Here is a 20,772-nt window from a genome sequence, read left to right on the forward strand (position 1 = left end):
TTTCATCAGCAACAATGGGTACCAGAAGATAATGAATAAACATCCCATGAGTGCTGAGGGAAAATCACTGGCAATCTGGAATTCTAGACCATGCTAAATAGTCACTCAAAAATGAGGATAAAACAAAGATAGTTTTCAGCTCAAAGCCCATGCTGAAGAACTATTATATAATGTACTTTAGAAAGAAAGAAACCCAGAAGGAAGGAGATCTGAGAAGCAATTGTGATCAAAGACATTGGCAGACATGGATAATGTAAATTATTATTAACTATCAACAAAGTGGTAACCATAAGACTAAAAGGGAGGAAGGGATGAAAACAAGATAGATTAAGTTACTTTATACCAAAATGTGAAGTAGTAATTAGAGTTAAATTGTTCCAAGTTGCTTGTGTTATGCAGAAGAGTATAGGTATTAATTAGCTTTGAATTGTATTAAGTATGCTTGTTGAAATGTAAGGGTAACTATTGAAAGAATAGAAATAAAATATATAACTTCCAAAATAACAGAGGGAAATGGGGTCTGCAAAGAATCATGTAATCATTTTTTTTTCTCACTTTGCCACCCAGGCTGGAGTGCAGTGGCATGATCTCGGCTCACTGCAACCTCCGCCTCCCGGGTTCAAGTGATTCTCGTGCCTCAGCCTCCCCAGAAGTAGGGACTACAGGTGCACGCCATCATGACTGGCTAATTCTTGTATTTTTAGTAGAAATGGGGTTTCACCACATTGGCTAGGCTGGTCTCAAACTCCTGACGTCAAGTAATCTGTCCACCTCAGCCTCCCAAAGTGCTGGGATTACAGGCGTGAGCCATTGCGCCCAGCACAGAGAACTTAATCATTCTATAGAATGTAGGAAGGCGGTAAAAAGAAACATACACACACACACACACACACACACACACACACACAATTAGAAAAAAAATAAGAAGAAAGGAGTAAAAATATATCAGGAATCACAGTATTTGTAAATGTATTAAACATAGATAAAAGACAACTTTTTGAAAATCCATTGATGTATTGTTTACCTGATACACTCCTAAAACATAATGACATGGAAAGTTTGGAAGTAAAGGACAATATATATAACCAACAAAGGATCAGTATTCATCATATATAAAAATCTCCTACAAATTAGTAAGACAAAAATAAAATACCCAAAAGAAAATACGGGCAAAGAATGGAGAAGAAAGCTGAAAGACTGCCAAACATATATAAAGGCGTTTAATCTCACTAGTAATCAGGGAAATGAAATAAAGCAAAGAGATACCATTTTACAGTCATCACATTAACAAAAGAATTATAAGGCTAACAACATCAGATTTATTGGCAACAATATGGGGAAATGGGGTTTATTATACACTGTTGACAAAAGTGTAACTTGGTAAAACTATTAGGTAGGGCAATGTAATACTATCTAGTAAAACTGAATACATGCAAACATATTATTACCACACATTAGAGAAACTCTTATGTGCATACACAAGAAGATACCCATAAGGATGTTTACAGGAAAAAATTGGAAGCAACATAAAAAAGCCAGTTTTAAAAATATATATATAGTATATGTTACATTTATATATATATGCCATATATTATATATACATATGATTCTTATATATACATATCTACCATATATATACATATACCATATACATACACACACGCACACACCTTAAACCTGCTCATGTAGTTATTAAGTACATACTTATAAGTACGAGTTTTAACATATACCCCAAAAGCATACCTACCAACTCTTCACCTTTAGGACAGTGATTACCTTCAGGAAGAAAGTGAAGGTAATCTAAAGTAAGGAAGGTGACAGGGCTTTAATGAAATCTTTCCTTTAAAAAAAAATGTGTTAAATATGGCAAAATGTAACAATTGTTAAATTTGGGTAGTAACTACACAGGCATCTAATATATCTGTACCTTTATGTTTAAATGTTTTAAAATTAAAAATTTTAACTATAGTAACTAACATGAAGTAGTCACAAAGACCTAACAATCACCACAGCAACAGTATTTTCTGTTTAGTTACTTTAAATAAAAAACCAAGTAAAGTGTTCAAAAGAATAACATTTTTGAAAAGTCATGACATGCCTAAGGTGAAGCATTTACAGAAATGTCAATGTGACCATGATTATACAACCAAGGTTTTCTACTTCCTTAGAAAAAAAATTAATGGTTAACTCAATATATTGCACTTAGTAATGTTAAGAGAGTTCCATAAAACATACTGTTCTCTTTCACTCAGCTAAACCTAAATTAGAATCAGTCAGCTTTGAAATTTCATGACTTTGGGGGCCTAGAATTCACCACCTCCACAATGTATTAGCATTATTTTCCCATCTGAGCCCTCTTGGGCAGCAGCAGTAATAATCTGTGGTGTGTGTTAGAGGTTAGGACTGAACCTTCCTTGAGTTCCCAGGAAAATCACCCCCTCTCCCTTCAGTGTGGGGTTTGTCAAACTCACAGAGCTTCCTCCAGCTGTGGAGGCTGATTTCCCAATGTACTTCATGATCTGGTTAAGCGCTTTCATCAGGTGCTGAAAGACTAACACGGGCTTTAATCTCCAAGGCTTGAAGTCACCAGAATGGCCAGTCACAGGCAGTGAGGAAGCCAGGCTAGGAGACCAGCAGAAACAGAGCCTCTCAGCCCTCATACCCTTTAACTAATATTTCAGGGACAGCTCAGGGGCAGACAGAAATTGCTCCAGACAGGGTGGTGAGTTGGGCCCTGCTATTTGGGTAAAATCATAGGGAAGTGATGAGCCTGAGATGAGTTAATCGTAAAGTGTGTGTGAGAGACATTTTAAGGGTCAATTTAAAATTTGGCAATGAGATGACTTTAAAATCAGCTTTAGGACTGGGCCATCATTTTGATGGGGCCATCTTGTTCATCAGCATTCAAAGAACACACAGCTGCTATGGTTTAACTGTGCCCTCTTTTCCTATAAATGAGTTAAATCAACAACCTGATGACTAGCAGGGTAAAATGTGGCAGAGAGATGTTCCTTACATCCCAGTCCTACTTCACCTTCAACACCCAGATCAAATTCCCTTCTCTTGTTGAGGCCATTCTCCTTGGACTTTGTCTTCTTTAATGGACTCCACCATGTACCAGAAGCAGAGTAGAAAGAGTTTTCATGGTTTTGTGGCTGCACAGATCTAGATCTGAACTCCAATCTCCATTTACTCACTATAGGATCTCAGGCATTTGATTTAACCTCTCTAGGCTTCCATTTCCTCATCTGAAAATTGGGGAAATAATAATACCTATCTCACAGACGTGTTGTGAGGATGAAATGAGATACGGAGTCGAACTGTTTAGTCCAAAGCCTGGCCTGGAGTAATGCTATTAGCCACTGTTGTTACTGACATTCTTCCTGTTTTTTTTTTCATTATTTTTCCTTATCCTTCAGATTTCTATTCTGAGTTGAATGTGGTTATTTCGAGCTTAGACAAAAGCTTTTACATTTTATTCCCTACTGGTATTGATTTAAAATATGCTTTATTTCCAATGAAATAGCTTTTCTTGAATTTTTGTTAGACACGCGGTGCCTCATATTTTCTCAAACATCATTAAGAACAGAAACATCCTAAAAATTGAAGTCAAGTACATGCAGAAGTCAAGGGTTTTTCAGTCTTAAGGCCCTCTGTTGACCAGGCCACTAGAGGCACTGATGACCTTTGCTGGCTGTTCAGAGTTTTCTGTTGACTCTGAGGCTCTGGTGTTGGCTTAAGGTCAGCCATTAGAAAACAGTGAATTTACGCTTTGGTCACACTGTGGGAGTCAGGCTCGTGATAAGAAAGGCCACCAGAAAAGCCAGGGAAGTTGTAAGTAAAGTTCTTTTCATTTGGATGTTGCCAGAAAAAACAGGCTGAGAACAAAGACCATTATTAAAAAATAATAAAATAGTGGGCCAGGTGTGGTGGCTCACGCCTGTAATCCCAGCACTTTGGGAGGCCAAGGCAGGCGGATTACCTGAGGTCAGGAGTTCGAGACCAGCCTGGCCAACATGGTGAAACCCCGTCTCTACTAAAAATACAAAAATTAGCTGGGCATGGTGGCACAGGCCTGTAATCCCAGCTACTCAGGAGGCTGAGGCAGGAGAATTGCTTGAGCCTGGGAAGCGGAGGTTGCGGTGAACTGAGATTGCACCACTGCACTCCAGCCTAGCTGACAGAGCAAGACTCTGTCTCAAAAATAAATAAATAAATAAATATAATAAACAATAAGTGGCCATCAATAGGAGAATGGATAAATTGCTGTAATGTCATATAACAGATCACTATATGGTAATCTGATGAATTAGACCTATGCCTAACAATAATTTGATATCATTGCATATATAATATTAAATTTTTGAAAACAAAGTTGTAAAGGAAGGTAGAGTGGGATAGTATTAAGGTAAAATTTTTAAGCAGAAGAACCAAAACTATTTTTTTATCATCTATACTTCAACTTATAAAACACTTGAACCAGAAGTATACTTCCCAAATTTAGGGTTATGTTTACTTATCTGGGGAGAAAGGGAAGGAAATGAGATTGGATAAATCTTCAACTGTACATGGATTAATTTTAATGTTTTCAAATTAATATTAAGTCTGGTAGAAAAGAACATGTTAAATTTTTCTGAATACTTTGTAATATATATTAAATATTTTATAGTTTTAAAAACATGATAAAAAATATGAACCAGAAAAAAATAAAATAAAGTAAGTCATTACTCATCTTCGAGCATTAACAAACTTAGCACATAGTAGGTGCTTAATAATCACTTACTGCATGATAAGTATGACACTTCTTATGTGGCGTTTCCATTTACCTGGAGACAGACCCTTTCTGGAATGGCTGACAATAGTCAAGTCCTCCTTACTCAAACCCCTACAAAAGCCTATAAATAAATGTTCACGCAATTTGAAACTTGTTATTTTCTTAACTTTAATCATTGTCCAAAGAGAAATTCCTGGTTTCTCTCTCTATATATATATATATAGAGAGAGTGTGTATATAATTCTGGTAAAAAATAAATTTCGTCAATCAAGAAATTTTCCTCAGGCAAATTTCAACTTTATAAAGATTCCAGATGTCAATGCCTTGTGGGTCCTGGAAAATATGTCATTGTTTTGTATTTCTAAATCTCATACACAATTATTAAAACTTTTACAACATAACCACATCTCCTGAGACTGGAAACAGGAGCTTGCAGTCCTTTGCAAGGATTAGGGGATGCTGCAATCCTCCCCAGGGCCTCAGCATGGGTCAGCCTCCACTACACCAACCCTCGGGGGAAGGTATCTGTGCAAACATTCAGCTGCCACCCCTCTGCCTGGCCCTGCCTAGAACAGCAGTGCATTTTGACAGAATTGTGGAGGGAAACACCCTCCAAAAAAGAGCAAAACAAACACCGTAGGGTTGTAGCATTTGTCCTAGGGATATCATTCTTGCTTATAATTATAATATAGTACTTTGAAACCTAATACTAATCTCTTTTTTTCTTTTCTGTATACATGGCCTTTTTCATAGTGCACACTCCCGTCTATCTGCTGGGGAATGGGAGTTAGAGTAGGAAATTAGAATTCTTTCAATAGCAATTATGAGTCCCTAATAAGGCAATGTGAGGAAAAATAAAGATTTTAGATATGTTTATACTGTCATTAACACAAAAAAACCTAGGTCTGGACTTGAACACGGAGATTGCTAGAAACCAGAGAGAACTCAGGATAGGATATAAGGGAAATTCACATAAGACAGAGAGAAAAAGTACAAAGAGGGTCTCCTCTTTTAATTATGAGAGTAAGAGGGCAGGAGAAATGGTGCAAGAGGCAGGCCAAGGTCTGCGGTGACCACCCACCCTTGGGGGTGAAAATAAAGGAGGAGGGTGCTATCCCTATCCAACTAGGCATAGGCCAGCCTGAGAACACTGCAGCCAGAGGCCTGCATCCTTCGAGGCAGCCTAAGAAAGGTTGTGATTCTCTAGGAGAATTTCCATATTCAGCTTAGGCCTGCATCCAAGATGGTGAGGGGGAGGGCCAGCATAATGCTCCCTTAGGGCCAGATGGGGCCAGCTGCATCTCAGTGAGCGCATTCAAGGACCCATAGACTACACCTAAGTAGCCACAGGTCCCTTATGAGAAAACAGCGGACAATGCCTGAGCTGCATCATCACATAGAGCCAAGGGATAATACAAGGAAATGAGCACATGGATCCAGGAGCCCTTCTCTTGCTCCTTGCTCATCCCCACCATTCCATTTTGTACGTGTCACCTCAGATGGGAGCAGTGGGCACAAGGAAGAAATTGGATGAACGCGTATCTAAAAGAAAATAAATCATCTAAATGAGACTATTTAAACCAAAGACAGAGATGCTGTTAATTGGCAAGTTTAAAAACACTGTCCTCTGCTCTATCTTCCAGGAGGGTGCGTATACTGAGAAAGACTGGATAGCTAATAGAAAATACTGTACATTTTCTTTGCACGTATATGTAATAATGTTAAACTATAACACATCTATACCATAAAAAATTGTACACTCTTAATAGCTCCCCTTTTATACAAAGGTTTTGAGGCACCTATAACCTATGTATTGGAAAATAAACACTCAAGGAAAGATCAAAAGATCTTTAATTAGTTTTAGTTATTTGTCACGAAGGAGAGAATGCTGAATTTACACTTAGTATATGTGTTTTAACATACAGAAGGTTAGTATGAGGAGTGTGGTAACTTGCGTTTTCTTTATTCATGGAATGTCAATATTTTTGTGGAAGAAAAGAAGCAAGAACTGTCTTTTTCATGCCTTTATCTTCAGCACTTCCTAGACTTCCTGGAGCATGGTGTATGCTCAGTTAATATTTATTGAATGAATAAATGAAAATATAAACTGCTTAGCCTCAGAATGGATAGCTTAGGACATTTTTGGAGCTCTCTCAAGCCATTGCTGGTGCTATGGGCTGAATGGAAGAGCCAGGGAATCTGATGTGGCAGGAGGAAAGGGCTCTTGGTTACCCCATCCCCACTCTGAGACCCGCCAAAGAAGGAGGAGATGTGAGGACTTTGCTGTGCGTTGACACCCCTACTCCCATAGGCTGTGAGGCTAGTGTGTGTGTGCATGTGTAAGGGGCAGTGTCTTCTGGGAAGGGGTGCCTGCTGCAGCCTCAGGTGAACCAATACAACCTTTGCTGATACCCCATGGAGAGACATCTAAGAATTGAGACTCTGGTCCCAGGGCTAGTCTAGCAGGCAGGGAAAGAGCACAAAAGCATGGTCTCAGGGAGGCCTAAATGCTATCCAGTTGTACATCAAGACTGTGCTTTCTTTTTCTAATATTAGAGGTTCAGGGACAAAATTAAGCCAGATAGAAAACTGTAATGGAATTGAGAATGTAATAGTGCCAGCATCATAAAGGAAGACGGTAGGAAGTGAAGTGTTTTGTCTCAGGCAAGACACCATGGAGCATGGATTTGGCAGATCTGATGCAAGACCCTCCTGATCACAAGGCTGGACTGAGTCATGGGCTGTGCCTGGCACACAGCCTTTGTTTGCAAATTACCCAGTGGCCAGGTCTGAGTTTGCCTTGTGCACTCCTGTGTGCATAATTTTTAAAAACGAAACCTTTTCCCCTGCTCTTCAGGTGACTGGCCTTTTGCAATACAGTCAATCAAAAAGCATTGCTGAGAAACAACCTACCATAAGAGCAGGATCGAGTCTTGAGAAGATTGAAAGGTGGGGAGAATAATTTAAGACTGCCCAGAAGGCATTAACTAGTATTCTACTTTCATCAACTTTTATAGATTCCACAAGATTATTCTGAACTTCATCCAAATGACAATTACTTGCCTAAATGTCTGACCGAGTTGTTACATGGGGTCCATAAATCTTAGATGGCATTACCTGGCACTGTTAGTGATCAAGATCACTGGTTGACTGAATCTGCACCGGAAACAGACATGTTAATCAACCTAGTTAATTCACTGTGGTAATTAATTACTGAACACTTATCTAATTAGCTAACATTTTTACCTCTCAAAGCCAGAGGTAAATGCCAGATTGAAATTGGTGGTTCTCCTCATTATACCTTAAAAATAAAATTGAGAGATATGGCATGGAATATCAAATAAAGGTGTGCTGGTGCCAGCAGTAGTGAGTGAGTATGTTGAGTCTCAAAATTGCCAGTGGTTCCTGGGAAGGAGCAGCAGGTAGACCAGCCTGAGATGAGTCAGGAGGTAAGAGACAGATGTATACAAGCTATCAACAAGAACTACTGTTCTAAGTTACAAAGGCAACACACATGTTAAAGACTATTTTGCCTCATAGTCATCATTACCTTTTCCAGGATAAGTGTCCTCAGGAATTTTTTGCTATCTGGGCACAGTTGCAAACGTCTAGTTGGTGGTAACAGTGGCAAGATTTAGGCTACATGGATTCCCCAATATAGAGTCCCCTATTCTTTTTCCTTCCTATTCTGTAAACTTTGCTGTCTGACCAAGATGGACCAAAGGAGGCCAGTGGGGCATTCAAAGAATTTGCCAAGAATGACTGTCACCAGGAAGAGGAGCATCTTCTAACATGGAGAACTCAGTTAGGATATGAGCACTTGATTCTTGACTGTGATGCACATTCTTGGAAAGAAATCCAAGCATATTAGGAGGTGTCTTGTATTTGCTGCTGTTTGGCATTTATAGACATTTTAGGTTCTGATTTGCCTGAAAGCCATGAGACTACGTTCTTGAAGCTCTCACCAGCATAGAACTTCAGCTGATTGCTATGGGAGTGAAGAGAAAAAAGATCAGGATGAAGTTGTCTAGTTTTCTAGATTTTTCTGTCCCAAAAGTGAAAAGTGAGAAGCATTAGTGAAAGTAGTGAATTCATGCCTTTCTTGGCAGAGACTCCGTTTTCTGAAAATACTATGCTGTATTATTATTCCATGTGGATTAACCCCTGGTTCAATAAATTTTACCAATGGCCTACAGTTTAACTAAAGAAAGAGGCCCTGGGAAATAAGTTTTGTTTAATTATCAGTTCTTCTGTGTGAACTGGAATGAGCAAAGTTCAGATAAAGGGACATTCTGAGGTCCAGACTTTGGATGCTTCCCTAACTTGTGATGACAAAGAATGAAAACAAGTTGGCGAGGGGCTGGATGGAGATGGGGAACTGAAATGTTTGAGAACTGAAAGTTCTCGTATGTACTGGACACAGTTTTGAGAAGACCTGGTAGGTGTGTTATAGAAACCAAAAGAGGACTCGTATCCATATACAGTTGTCTCAAAGCAAATAAGCCTGTTTGCAACATCAAACCTGTGTTGGGATCAAGGACAGATGTAAGGGAAAGTTCTCACCAATAGTTAACAAGCTAACCAACCTGGTCAAAGAGCTAGGATGCCACACCTTCAAAGGGGGCCTATCTTCTTGAGGAAGTGCTGCTCTGAGAGCTGGGCTGTGGTATAAAAGTCATGTCAGGGAGGACATCTTTTATTTGATAGGAAAATTTAAAATGCTAAAGGAAAAATTTTCTTAGCAATTTCACAGGAAAACCTAAGTTTTAAGAGAGGTTATCATTCTGACTGGGAACTGAACTATTATGACTAGGTCTATAATTTAATAACAAGTCACAATATCTCTCTTTCTTGACATCAATTTAAGGTGACTTTTCACATAGTAGAGAGAATGGCTTCAGTTATACCTGCCTCCAATAGGTCCATGAGATCTGACAGGAATACATATGTTGGGTGAGTAATTTTGATTTTGTAAATTTGTTTTGATCAGATGGTTGCTCCTTGGATTTTGTATTAAATGATTAGATAATGGGCCTCTACAGTTAAGCAAATTTCTTAAATGTAGAGATTATATCACTGGATGCAGCTCATAAAGCAATAAAAACAGTGGAAAATGTATTTTCAATGACATTTTTACTCCTTGGTTTTGGGGGTTAGGGTTTGGCTCATCTAAGAAAATGGGGCAAAATAAATTATAAAAAACATGCAAAAGTTTAGCCAACCTTCAGTAGTAAACAAATTCAAGGTTCAGCCTGGGACTCACTATAGAGTTCAGCCCTTAATTCTAAGACCATGGGCTGCAAATGAGAAATAATTAAAAGGGCCTCCCAGTGCCTGAGGGAGGTTTAATTGTATTGCAGGATATTGTGGAGTGATTTCATATGCTTCATGATGGACCTTACATAGAATTTACTTCTGAAATACCGTCTATGTGATTCATCTCATGGGTAGATATAAAATTGCTGAAGCTGTCTACAAATTTAGCTCCAGTTCCTGCCCCAGGTTAACAGAACACAACAGAGCATTAATCATCATGAGGCATAAGGAGATTTTGCTGGTTCCCTCTGATTTCCTGAGAGTTGTGTGAAATGTCTTGCTTAGAGCCTCCATTATGTCAGCATTTCAGAAAACACTCCATTTGCCCATCCCAAACAGAGGTAGCCTCCTGCATGTTCCCTTCTTCAGGGAAGCCCAGGAGAAAAAGAAAAGGAAAAATTATGAAGATGAAGGTAATGGCAAATGGAAAGACTTCTGCTCAGCCAGCACTTTCTTTTGGTTACCAATATTTAATACTCATCATGTAGTGTAATTTGTCACGATTTACTAAAAAGACTATTCTATGTGTTAGGAAAAGGAAGAAGAGTTTGAAGATTCAACAACACATATAAACCTATTTAGTAAAAATTATATATTTTGGAAAAATCAAATATTCCAAAAACTACATTCATATTGGGTAGAAATTTGGCATGAAATCCCAAACAAGTTTTTTCTTTGGTACTGATAAAGTGATCATCTTAGAAGTGCTTCTGGATGAGCCCAATGAAACAAGAAACTTCTATAGACAGTCCCCCAAATTTTCTGACGGAGAAATCATTAGACGTTGGGACAGGGCATCAAGGAAAACTAATCCTAATGAATTAATAGTATTATAATTAATATAAGTGAAAATAATTAATGGCTCTGCTGGTTGGAGAATTTCTCCTTGAAGATAGGAAGTGTGTGTATAGATGAGTGATTTTAAAAACACCAAAGCCCAGGTCTCCTTGACCAAGTCAATCCAAATTTCTAGAGATAGGGTCTAGGGATAAGTACTCTTTAAAGTGCCCCTGGTGGTTCTGATATGTAGCTGGAGTTTGGAATCACTAGGGTAGAGCAATGAGACTCTTTTATAGAGTAATGATTCATAGATTCAGTTAGGAATCCAAAGGAATATTTCCAGGTCGTGAAAGTAGTCTTGGCAGAGTGAAACAGAAAGTGTAATAGAATTTGGAAGAAAAAGTTTATGGCAGTGTTTGTCAAACTTTAATGTGCATGTGAATCACACAGAGTTTGTTAAAATGCAGATTTTGATTCAGCAGGTATGGGGTAGAATCTAAGACTTTGCATTCCTAATGAGCTCCCCAGATGTTCCTGATGCTGCTGGTTCACTGACCACACACTGTATAACAAGGGACTAGGGATAAATTCTTGCCTCACAAGAGAAGAAAGGAAATGTCCCTTTGCTTTGAGATTTTGAAGCTTGTTCTGTAGTAGTAATGTGTACTAACACCACGGAATACTTTATTTTTGAAACTAGGTACGTATGACCCAGTAACTAATTAAAAATCTATAACTCTAGATGTTTTTGAGAAGGAAATTAATAGTATTTTGTTCCAATTTCTGAACAGTTAAATTTAATTCAACAATAGAATTTGTTAAAACTTAGGGATTCAAGAAGGATATTTGAGATAGCTTGCATCAGGGGATTCGCAGTCTTTCTAGAGGGATGGAAACTTAACTATATTGCAATGTGAAATGCTATCTACCAGCATTAGCATGAAACAAATGCTTTGGGAACACAGTGAGAAAAAAATTAATACTGATCAAGGAGAGAAGATGCTTGGAAAAGCCTTCACGGAAGAGGTAATATTTGAATTGGACCATAAAGGAAAATTGGAATTTGATAGGTGAAAAGTGGAAGAAAGGGGGAAGGATGTTTGAAGGACAAAGGCCTGAAGCAGGGGTTCTCAACTTTGGCTTCACCAAAGATCATTTGAGATTTTAAAAATACTTAAAATCTTTAGATTTAAAATACAGAGTGTCTAAATTAATTAGTGCCTGGTCACCAGTGTTTTTTTGTTTTTGTTTTTGTTTTTAAAGCTCCCTGGTAATTTTAATGCAAACCCAAGTGAGAATCGATAAAGATATAGAAAGACACAAGGCCTGGTAAAATGTTTTGAGGTGTATGGAATGAAAGCCATGTGGAAAGGCTAGGCATGATGGCTCACACCTGTAATCCCAGCACTTTGGGAGGCTAAGGTGGGTGGATCGCTTGAGGTCAGAGGTTTGAGACCATCCTGGCCAACATGGTGAAACCCCATCTCTACTAAAAATACAAACATTAGCTGGGTATGGTGGCAGGCACCTGTAATCCTGGATACTCAGCAGGCTGAGGCAGGAGAATCGCTTGAACCAGGAGGCGGAGGTTGCAGTGAGCTGAGATTGGGCCACTGCACTCCAGCCTGGGTGACAGAGCGAAACTCTGAAAGGGAAGGGAAGGGAAGGGAAGGGAAGGGAAGGGAAGGGAAGGGAAGGGAAGGGAAGGGAAGAGAAGGGAAGGGAAGGGAGGGGAGGGGAGGGGAGGGGAGGGGAGGGGAGGGGAGGGGAGGGGAGGGGGCAGGCATGTGGAGAGAAATGGAGGAACAAAGAACAAAGAAGTCTCAGACAGTTCTTGGCAAAGACGTCTTGACCCACTGTGGTGTGGGGGTAGATAACTTTTATCACTAACAACTCTAGTGGCATATGATTACTATCCAAATAACCGAAAGCTACAAATGATATGCTTCATAAATATGAACTAGATTGAATTAAGGTCATTCTTATAGCCGTCATCAGCTCACTGTCTTGAATTTCGTGGTATTTCACAAAGAAAAGGGAGGAAGGATTGGTGTTCTAGCTAGCACTGCCGTGATGGGGGTTTGAGCCAGGGCCATGGCCAGTGGGGTAGAAAGAAAGTGGTGTGTTCAGCATGGTTGGTGGAGTCCTCAATGGCAGCGCTATTCAAAGTGTTGTCCATAGACCATCAACATCAGGACCAATGAGGAGCTTGCTAGAAATGCAAATTCGGACACACATCAGCAACTCACTGAATCAGAATTTCCAGAAGAAGAGTCCATGAAGTGTCCGGCTGATTGTTATGCATGCTACACTTTGAGAAGATAAAATAAAATACAAATAACTTACTCAAGGTTGCACAATTAGGATATATATGGTTGAACTTGTACTGGAACCCAGGCAATCTGAATCCAGAGCCCAGTAGTTTATATTCCACAGCCTCCCATGCAAAGAAATTAGATGACCGTTACAGTCAGAACTGAATAGAAATGGCTGTTTTGTAATTTACTGGTTGTTAATCTTGCACAAGTTTCTCAACTTCTGTAAGCCTTGGCTTCTTTGTAAACTAAATTATTAATCTTACCCAGCTAAGAGGGCAGTTATGGGACAAATGAGTTAATGCATTTGTTATATGCAGTTTTCTTGCCATTTTCATGCTCAGTGCTATGCTTGGCACATAGTGTGGGCAAATATTAGCCATAATTACTGTTATACTACATTGCTTCTCAACAAATAATTTAACCCTAAAGGAAGGTTTATGTTCAGACTTTCTTTCTTGTGAGCTTTCTCTCAAAATTCTTTTATATCTTCTTTGTATAATTTTTTTTTCCAGAAAAAGGTTTGTTCACGTTAAAAATCCTTACTTGGATTTGATGGATGAAGACATTCTCTATCACTTGGATTTGGGAACAAAAACACACAACCTACCAGCAATGTTTGGAGATGTAAAGGTAAAAACATTTCTAATTTCAGGAAAAATGATTGAGTTTTCTCTACTAATTTTTCTTCTTACCTTGCCAAAATAATCTATACACCTTTGGCTAGCACAGTCCCAATAGGAACTGAAGTCACACTCATTCTCTGAAACAATTTGGAATGTGTATATCATGAACAATCATTTCCACCTCAACAAGACATAAAGGTTCCCAAACTAAATCTAATGCAAACATGTTATTTGGCTACTCTGGCCCCTGGAGATAAATATAATTTTATTGACAATACTGCTGGGTGTTGAGAATTCATTATGTTTTAACAGATTCAGCTCACTATTTAGCATCTACATTTATAGCTTAATCTCACTAGTTCTCGTTTTATTAACTCATAAAAATAACCCAACAAAACTAACAATATAATATTATTTCACTTCTGGGAAATAACCATTATCTAATATTTCATATTAAGAATTTTGTTTCATAAGAAATATTTCATACAAATTATTTATTAAATACTACCATAAAATTGTACTTCTGCATTATTTATTTTATCTGACATATTTTAATTATATAAGCAATTTGTGTACATTATTTAAAATAGGGAATACAAAAAAGAATATGATTGTTAAAAAACACCCAATAGTCCTGCCACCTAAACATAGACATGATCAACTCATTTTTTTCTTTCAATCATTTTTAATGAATAGACTTTAAAATAGTTGTAATTATATAACTGCATTCTGCACTTCATCATTTAGGTTTACATCATTAACATTTCTCCATATTATTACATTCTTTTGAAACATATCATTTATGGGTGTCAAGTGGTGTACCACACATTACAGAGACTATTACTGAGTTTTATGTTAAAATATTTTCCATTATAAACAGGAATCAAATGAATATTTTGTAACTAAAGATTTTCTACATTTAGGCCAATTTGCTTAGGGTGATTCACAGAAATGGTCAAAGAGACTGAATTTTTAAAGAACTTTTGTTTTCCAAAAGACTGTATCTATTTACAGTTGCACTAATGGAGAATCGCGCTGTTTTCATCTGACTTTTTCGTTTCTTTAGCAATTACGAGAACAAAAATAAAAGCGTCACATCTACTATCTCACTAACATCTGCAGATTTAGCTCTTTTGGATGGGTTTAGCAGATATTAACTCTCTCCATAAAACAAGGAAATTAAGTTCAGAGAGGTGGAGGAAGGTTACAGTTACACCATAGAGTGGTAGTGCTGAGACCTGGATTAAGTTCTTCCAAGTCCAATCTCTAGGGTTCTTGCTCATTGCACTAGGAGGACCCTTTGAGTCACAGTAACTCAGGATAGTCCATAATTATTTAATCCTAGCTCTTTCACTTACCCAGTGGGTCAAGAGGCAGGTGAGAAAAGGGGAGGAGGAAGAGGTTGGAGGCAGAGGAAAAGGAAGGGAACAAGAAAGTAAGGAAGGAGGGAAGGAAAGAAAAAAAGATGGGAAAATGAGAAGAAATAGATCTATTATGCCTATGATTAGTAGGTGCTGAGTGGCCTTCTCCTGCTCCCTCTCTCCTAGGAAGGAAGGTGTGAGGGCATGGGTGGGTGTCCTGGCAGTGAGGTGACCCACCCTTTCTTCACTCCTCTCCAGGCTGTGCTCCTTGCCTTTGTGTGGCCTGCCTCTATTTTGCGCTTTGTCTTCTCAATGTAACCTCTTCCCCTGCTGCTGTTTTGGTTTACTTATGCTCCAAGAGTCATTGATCAAGGCGGTCTTTAATACTCAATAACCAGATTGTACCAGAATTCAAATGTTAGATTTGAGGTTCATGCCTCTCAATAATATCCCAGGACCCTTGTCTAGGGATGACTCTGATTAATTGAAAGACTTTTCACAATTAATGAACTAAGGCACACAGCTGGTTAATACATTTAAAAGACTTGAGATATATATTTGAGACAGAAAGTGATTTGCTATCTACATATCTTGGGTGTCTGTGTCTCCTCTACCATTTATGGTGCGCTTTCTATATATCAGACTCTGTGTGGCACATGCAAATGGTACATTCAGTCCCCACAGCAACTATAGTTATTATCTCCACTTTACAGATGAGAAAACACAGGCTCAAATATATACATAGTGTTATAACACATATATGTTTGTCTGTAATAGGCACAACACAGCTGGTAAGTCAAATAGCTGAGATTAAACCTTAGGTTTCTCCGATAAAAAAATAATGGCTCTTTCTCTGTTCAAACAAAACAAAATAACACAAAAACAAAAACAAAAAAACAAAAGCACTATGTTTTAGTACTTTTTAGTACTCCAAGTATTAGTTTCTGGGAAATTATTGGGATGGAAAGCTTTGTTTTAGAGATAAAAATAAGGGGACTCACATGTATGTATCTCTCTCACACACGCACACACACAGACACACACACACATACGCACACACACATAGTTGTCTCATCTCGGTTATAATCCCAGGAAACAGACCTTCACGTCTGCCTGTCCAGATTTTGTTCAGCACTTATTCTCACACACTGTCTGTCATAACCACTATCCAACCTTATACATTCACCACCCACCTGGTTGTGAACCTTCAGTAAATTATCTTTTGGATAAAAAGACATGCTCTGTTTCAAACATGTTTTATCCCATCAAACAGCAACTCTACTGATTGAGCCATTTTGATGAATAGGAGGCAAAAGCGTGTGTGTGTGTGTGTGTGTGTGTGTGTGTGTGTGTGTGTGTGTGTTTGTAAATTGAGGAGCAGGTAACCTAGCTCCAAATGTTCAGAACTGGCCATTTAATCTGAAGTAGAATTTTTTCAAGGCAGCGTGTAAAGTCTGATTTATTCTCATAGATGGTTTCCTCAGAAACTTGCCTTCCTCCAGCCATGTTCTCCTCTTTGAATGAGAACATTCTACATTCAATTTCTTGAGTTCCTTAAATCCCAGGGCAGCAGTCCTGGCTAAGAAAAGAGGACATAATCCATCAGTACCTGAAAACTCAGGCTTGTCTTCACAGAGATGATAATCATTATTAATACCATTATCTTCCAAGAAAGGAGAACTCTGGGTGTATAAAGCTGAAACTTCAGACTCCAGCAATCACTCCTATTTCCTTCATATTCTTACCATATTTAAAAATTTTTGCTACTTGCTACTGCAAAATCTCAGTAGCTTAATACAATTTAAGTTTACTTCTCACTCACATTAGGTACAAGGTGGGAGTTCTTAGTTGATGGATGGTTTCCCTACATCTGGTGATTCGAGGACCCAGGCTCCTTCCATAATTGTTACTGTTTCCTTCAAGGCATAAATTGCTGTTTCCCAGTGTGTCAACACCTGTCCAGCAGATGACAGCGACAATATGTAGGGTCACCAATACATCCTCCTTGTAGGATGGGAGATTTCTATGGGCTAGGACTGGAAATGGTACCCATTACTTCTGCTCAAATTCTAGTCACTGGAACCCAGACAAATGACCTTGTCTAACTGGAAAGGAGGCTGAGATGTTAAGTTTAGCTGGGTGCCCAGAAAGAAGAGCAAACTGTTTAGGTGAACAGCTAATCAATCTCTGCCATACTCACTAGAAAGATTCAGACAATTAATACATACGGTGGAAGATCCTTAGAAGTTATCTATTCAAATTTAATGGACATTTATAAAATTCTCCACTCAAACAAAGCAGGATATACATTTCCGGGGAAGGCAGGAAATAGTTTGAACTGAGGAAAAATGAAAATACAACATATTATATCTACAGAATGTGGGTAGAGTGCTGAGAGGAAATTTATAGAATTAAAGGCTAATGTTGGAAAAGAAGAAATATTTTTTATTATACTTTAAGTTCTAGGGTACATGTGCACAACCTGCAGGTTTGTTACATATGTATACATGTGCCATGTTGGTGTGCTGCACCCATTAACTCGTCATTTACATTATGTATATCTCCTAATGCAATCCCTCCCCACTGCCCCCACCCCATGACAGGCCCGAGTGTGTGATGTTCCCCTTCCTGTGTCCAAGTGTTCTCATTGTTCAATTTCCACCTATGAGTGAGAACATGCGGTGTTTAGTTTTTTGTCCTTGTGATAGTTTGCTGAGAATGATGGTTTCCAGCTTCATCCCTGTCCCTTACAAAGGACATGAACTCATCCTTTTTATGGCTGCATAGTATTCCATGGTGTATTTGCTTAATCCAGTCTGTCATTGATGAACATTTGGGTTGGTTCCAGGTCTTTGCTATTGTGAGTAGTGCCGCAGTGAACATACATGTACATGTGTCTTTATAACAGCATGATTTATAATCCTTTGAGTATATAGCCAGTAATGGGATGGCTGGGTCAAATGATATTTCTAGTTCTAGATCCTTGAGGACTAGTTCTAGATCCTTGAGGACTCGCCACACTGTCTTCCACAATGGTTGAACTAGTTTACAGTCCCACCAACAGTGTAAAAGTGTTCCTATTTCTCCACATCCTCTCCAGCATCTGTTGTTTCCTGACTTTTTAATGATTGCCATTCTAACTGGTGTGAGATGGTATCTCATTGTGGTTTTGATTTGCATTTCTCTGATGGCCAGTGATGATGAGCATTTTTTCATGTGTTTTTTGGCTGCATAAATGTCTTCTTTTGAGAAGTGTCTGTTCATATCCTTCGCCCACTTGATGGGGTTGTTTTTTTCTTGTAAATTTGCTGGAGTTCTTTGCAGATTCTGGATATTAGCCCTTTGTCAGATAAGTAGATTGCAAAAATTTTCTCCCATTCTGAGGTTGCCTGTTCACTCTGATGGTAGTTTCTTTTGCTGTGCAGAAGCTCTTTAGTTTAATTAGATCGCATTTGTCAATTTTGGCTTTTGTTGCCATTGCTTTTAGTGTTTTAGACATGAAGTCCTTGCCCATGCCTATGTCCTAAATGGTATTGCCTAGGTTTTCTTCTAGGGTTTTTATGGTTTTAGGTCTAACATTTAAGTCTTGCCGATTCCCTTTCCATAAGTTCTATGCATTACTGAGAGAGGTGAAGTCTCAAACTATGCTTGTGAGTTTATTAATACTTTATTTCTGACAGTTTTTGCTTTATTTTTTAAGCTCTGTTTTTAGTTTTTATACACTTTGAATGTTATGTCTTCTTGGTAAACTGACTCTTATGGTTATGGAATATCCCTCTGTCTCTGGTAATTTTCTTTGCTCTGAAGCCTATTTTGATATTAATATAGTCATTCCAGCATTAGATTAAAGCTTGCATGGTCTATATTTTTCCATTCTTTTACTTTTAATCTGCCTGTATCATTATCATTATAGACAGCATATAATTGGATCATATGTTTGTTTATTCATTCTGAAAATCTCTGTGTCTTAAATGGGTGCTTAGACACTTTGCATTTAATGTAATTATTGATATGTTTGGATTTAGGTTTACCATTTTATATTTGATTTCTGTGTATTAAGCTCTGCTTTCCATTTCTTTATTCCTCTTTCCAGCTTTCTTTTGGGATAGTTGAACATTTTTTAAATATTCCATTTTTATTTATCTGTTATATTTTGACTATATCTCTTTGTTTTGTTTCAGTTTTGTTTCTCTGCTTATTTGTTTTAGTGGTTGCTCTAAGGATTACAGTAAACATATTTAATGTTTAAAAATCTACTTTTAATCAATGTTGTACGACTTGAAGTGGGACATATAGACCTTACAGGAATATACAGGAATCAAATAAACAAAAGAAGTGCAAACTTATACTCTGAAAACAACAAGCATTATTGAAAGAAATTTTGAAAGCTCTAAGTAAATGGGAAGACATCCTATGCTTATGGATTGCAAGATTTAATATTGTTAAGATAACTATACTACCAAAAATATTCTACAGATTCAATGCAGTCCCCATTAAAATTCCAGTTGCCTATTTTGCAGAACTTGACAAGCTTCTAATAAAATCCACGTCAAAATGCCTGGAATGCAGGATAGCCAAAATAGTTTTTACAAAGGAGAAAAAAGTTGGAGGACTCGCACTTCCCAACTTCAAAACTTATTACAAAGTTATAATGATAAAGACAGTGTGGTACTAACATATGGATAGACATAAAGATCACTAGAACAGAACCAAGAGACCAGAAATAAACTCTCACCTTTATGTACAACTGATTTTCAACAAGCATGCTAAGACAATTTATTGTGAAAAGAATCATCTCTTCAAATGGTGCTGGGACAACTAGATATCCACATGCTAAAGAATAAAGTTAGATCCCTATCTCACACCATATTCAAAAATTAACTCAAAATGGATGAAAGACCTAAATGTAAGGCTTAATTCTATAAAATGTTAGAAGAAAACATAGACATAAATCTTTGTGACCTTGGATTAGGAAATGATTTCTTATGTAAGATACCAAAACACAAGCAATAAAATAAAAATAAATAAATTGAACTCTAAAAAAAAAAGGAAGTTATCTATTCAAAATCAACATCTAAATATGTCTTTTATAAAATCACTAACTGGTATCCTCTAATCTCTCACTAGAAATTTTAGTAATATGCAATGCATTTTGAATGTATTTATATTCCCTTGTTAACACAGAAAATGCATAAAATGCAATAGACCAGATTAATACAACATGGCATAGTTAAGCCTTTTAAGATGCTAGGGATATCTAAAGCTGAGTTTTTTTCTGGCAATCATTAGGCAAAATCCTTAACATATTTTTGTAATGCCTCTGACTCCTTCCCAGTGTGTTTCTAACTTCTTTGATAAAACCAGGACAATTGATCATTTTGTTTGAGACATAAACACAGTAAGTGTCACTTAAGGTCAATGTTGGTTGGTGGTCTTCAGCCATATTTTACTTCTCATTAAAGCAGCCAGACCGAAAATTGTGTCCAGAGGTGGTGTTTAGTGAGTCTGGTTTAGGAGTAAGGAAGGCTTTAAGAACCAAGCTGCTTCTGTCTGTGCATATGATCTTTATGTCTCCAGAAATATTCAGAAATTCCTGTCGA

General features: G+C 37.8%; 1 protein-coding gene across 3 annotated transcripts in view; it reads left to right on the forward strand.

Moving 5' to 3' along the window:
• UPP2 (uridine phosphorylase 2) overlaps positions 1 to 20,772 on the forward strand; it is a 140,976-nt gene that overhangs the window by 97,220 nt on the left and 22,984 nt on the right. For 2 of the 3 annotated variants that reach the window (NM_173355.4, XM_017003484.2), the window contains exons 1-2: positions 9,478 to 9,727; positions 13,701 to 13,818. In NM_173355.4, the coding sequence (NP_775491.1) occupies positions 9,666 to 9,727; positions 13,701 to 13,818 (180 nt within the window). In that variant the 5' untranslated portion in view covers positions 9,478 to 9,665. Of the gene's footprint in view, positions 1 to 9,477; positions 9,728 to 13,700; positions 13,819 to 20,772 lie in introns of those variants that run through there. The other variant, NM_001135098.2, reaches the window with a different exon arrangement.

The sequence above is a fragment of the Homo sapiens genome, chromosome 2, assembly GCF_000001405.40.
Source record: "Homo sapiens chromosome 2, GRCh38.p14 Primary Assembly".
Taxonomy (NCBI): Eukaryota; Metazoa; Chordata; class Mammalia; order Primates; family Hominidae; genus Homo; species Homo sapiens.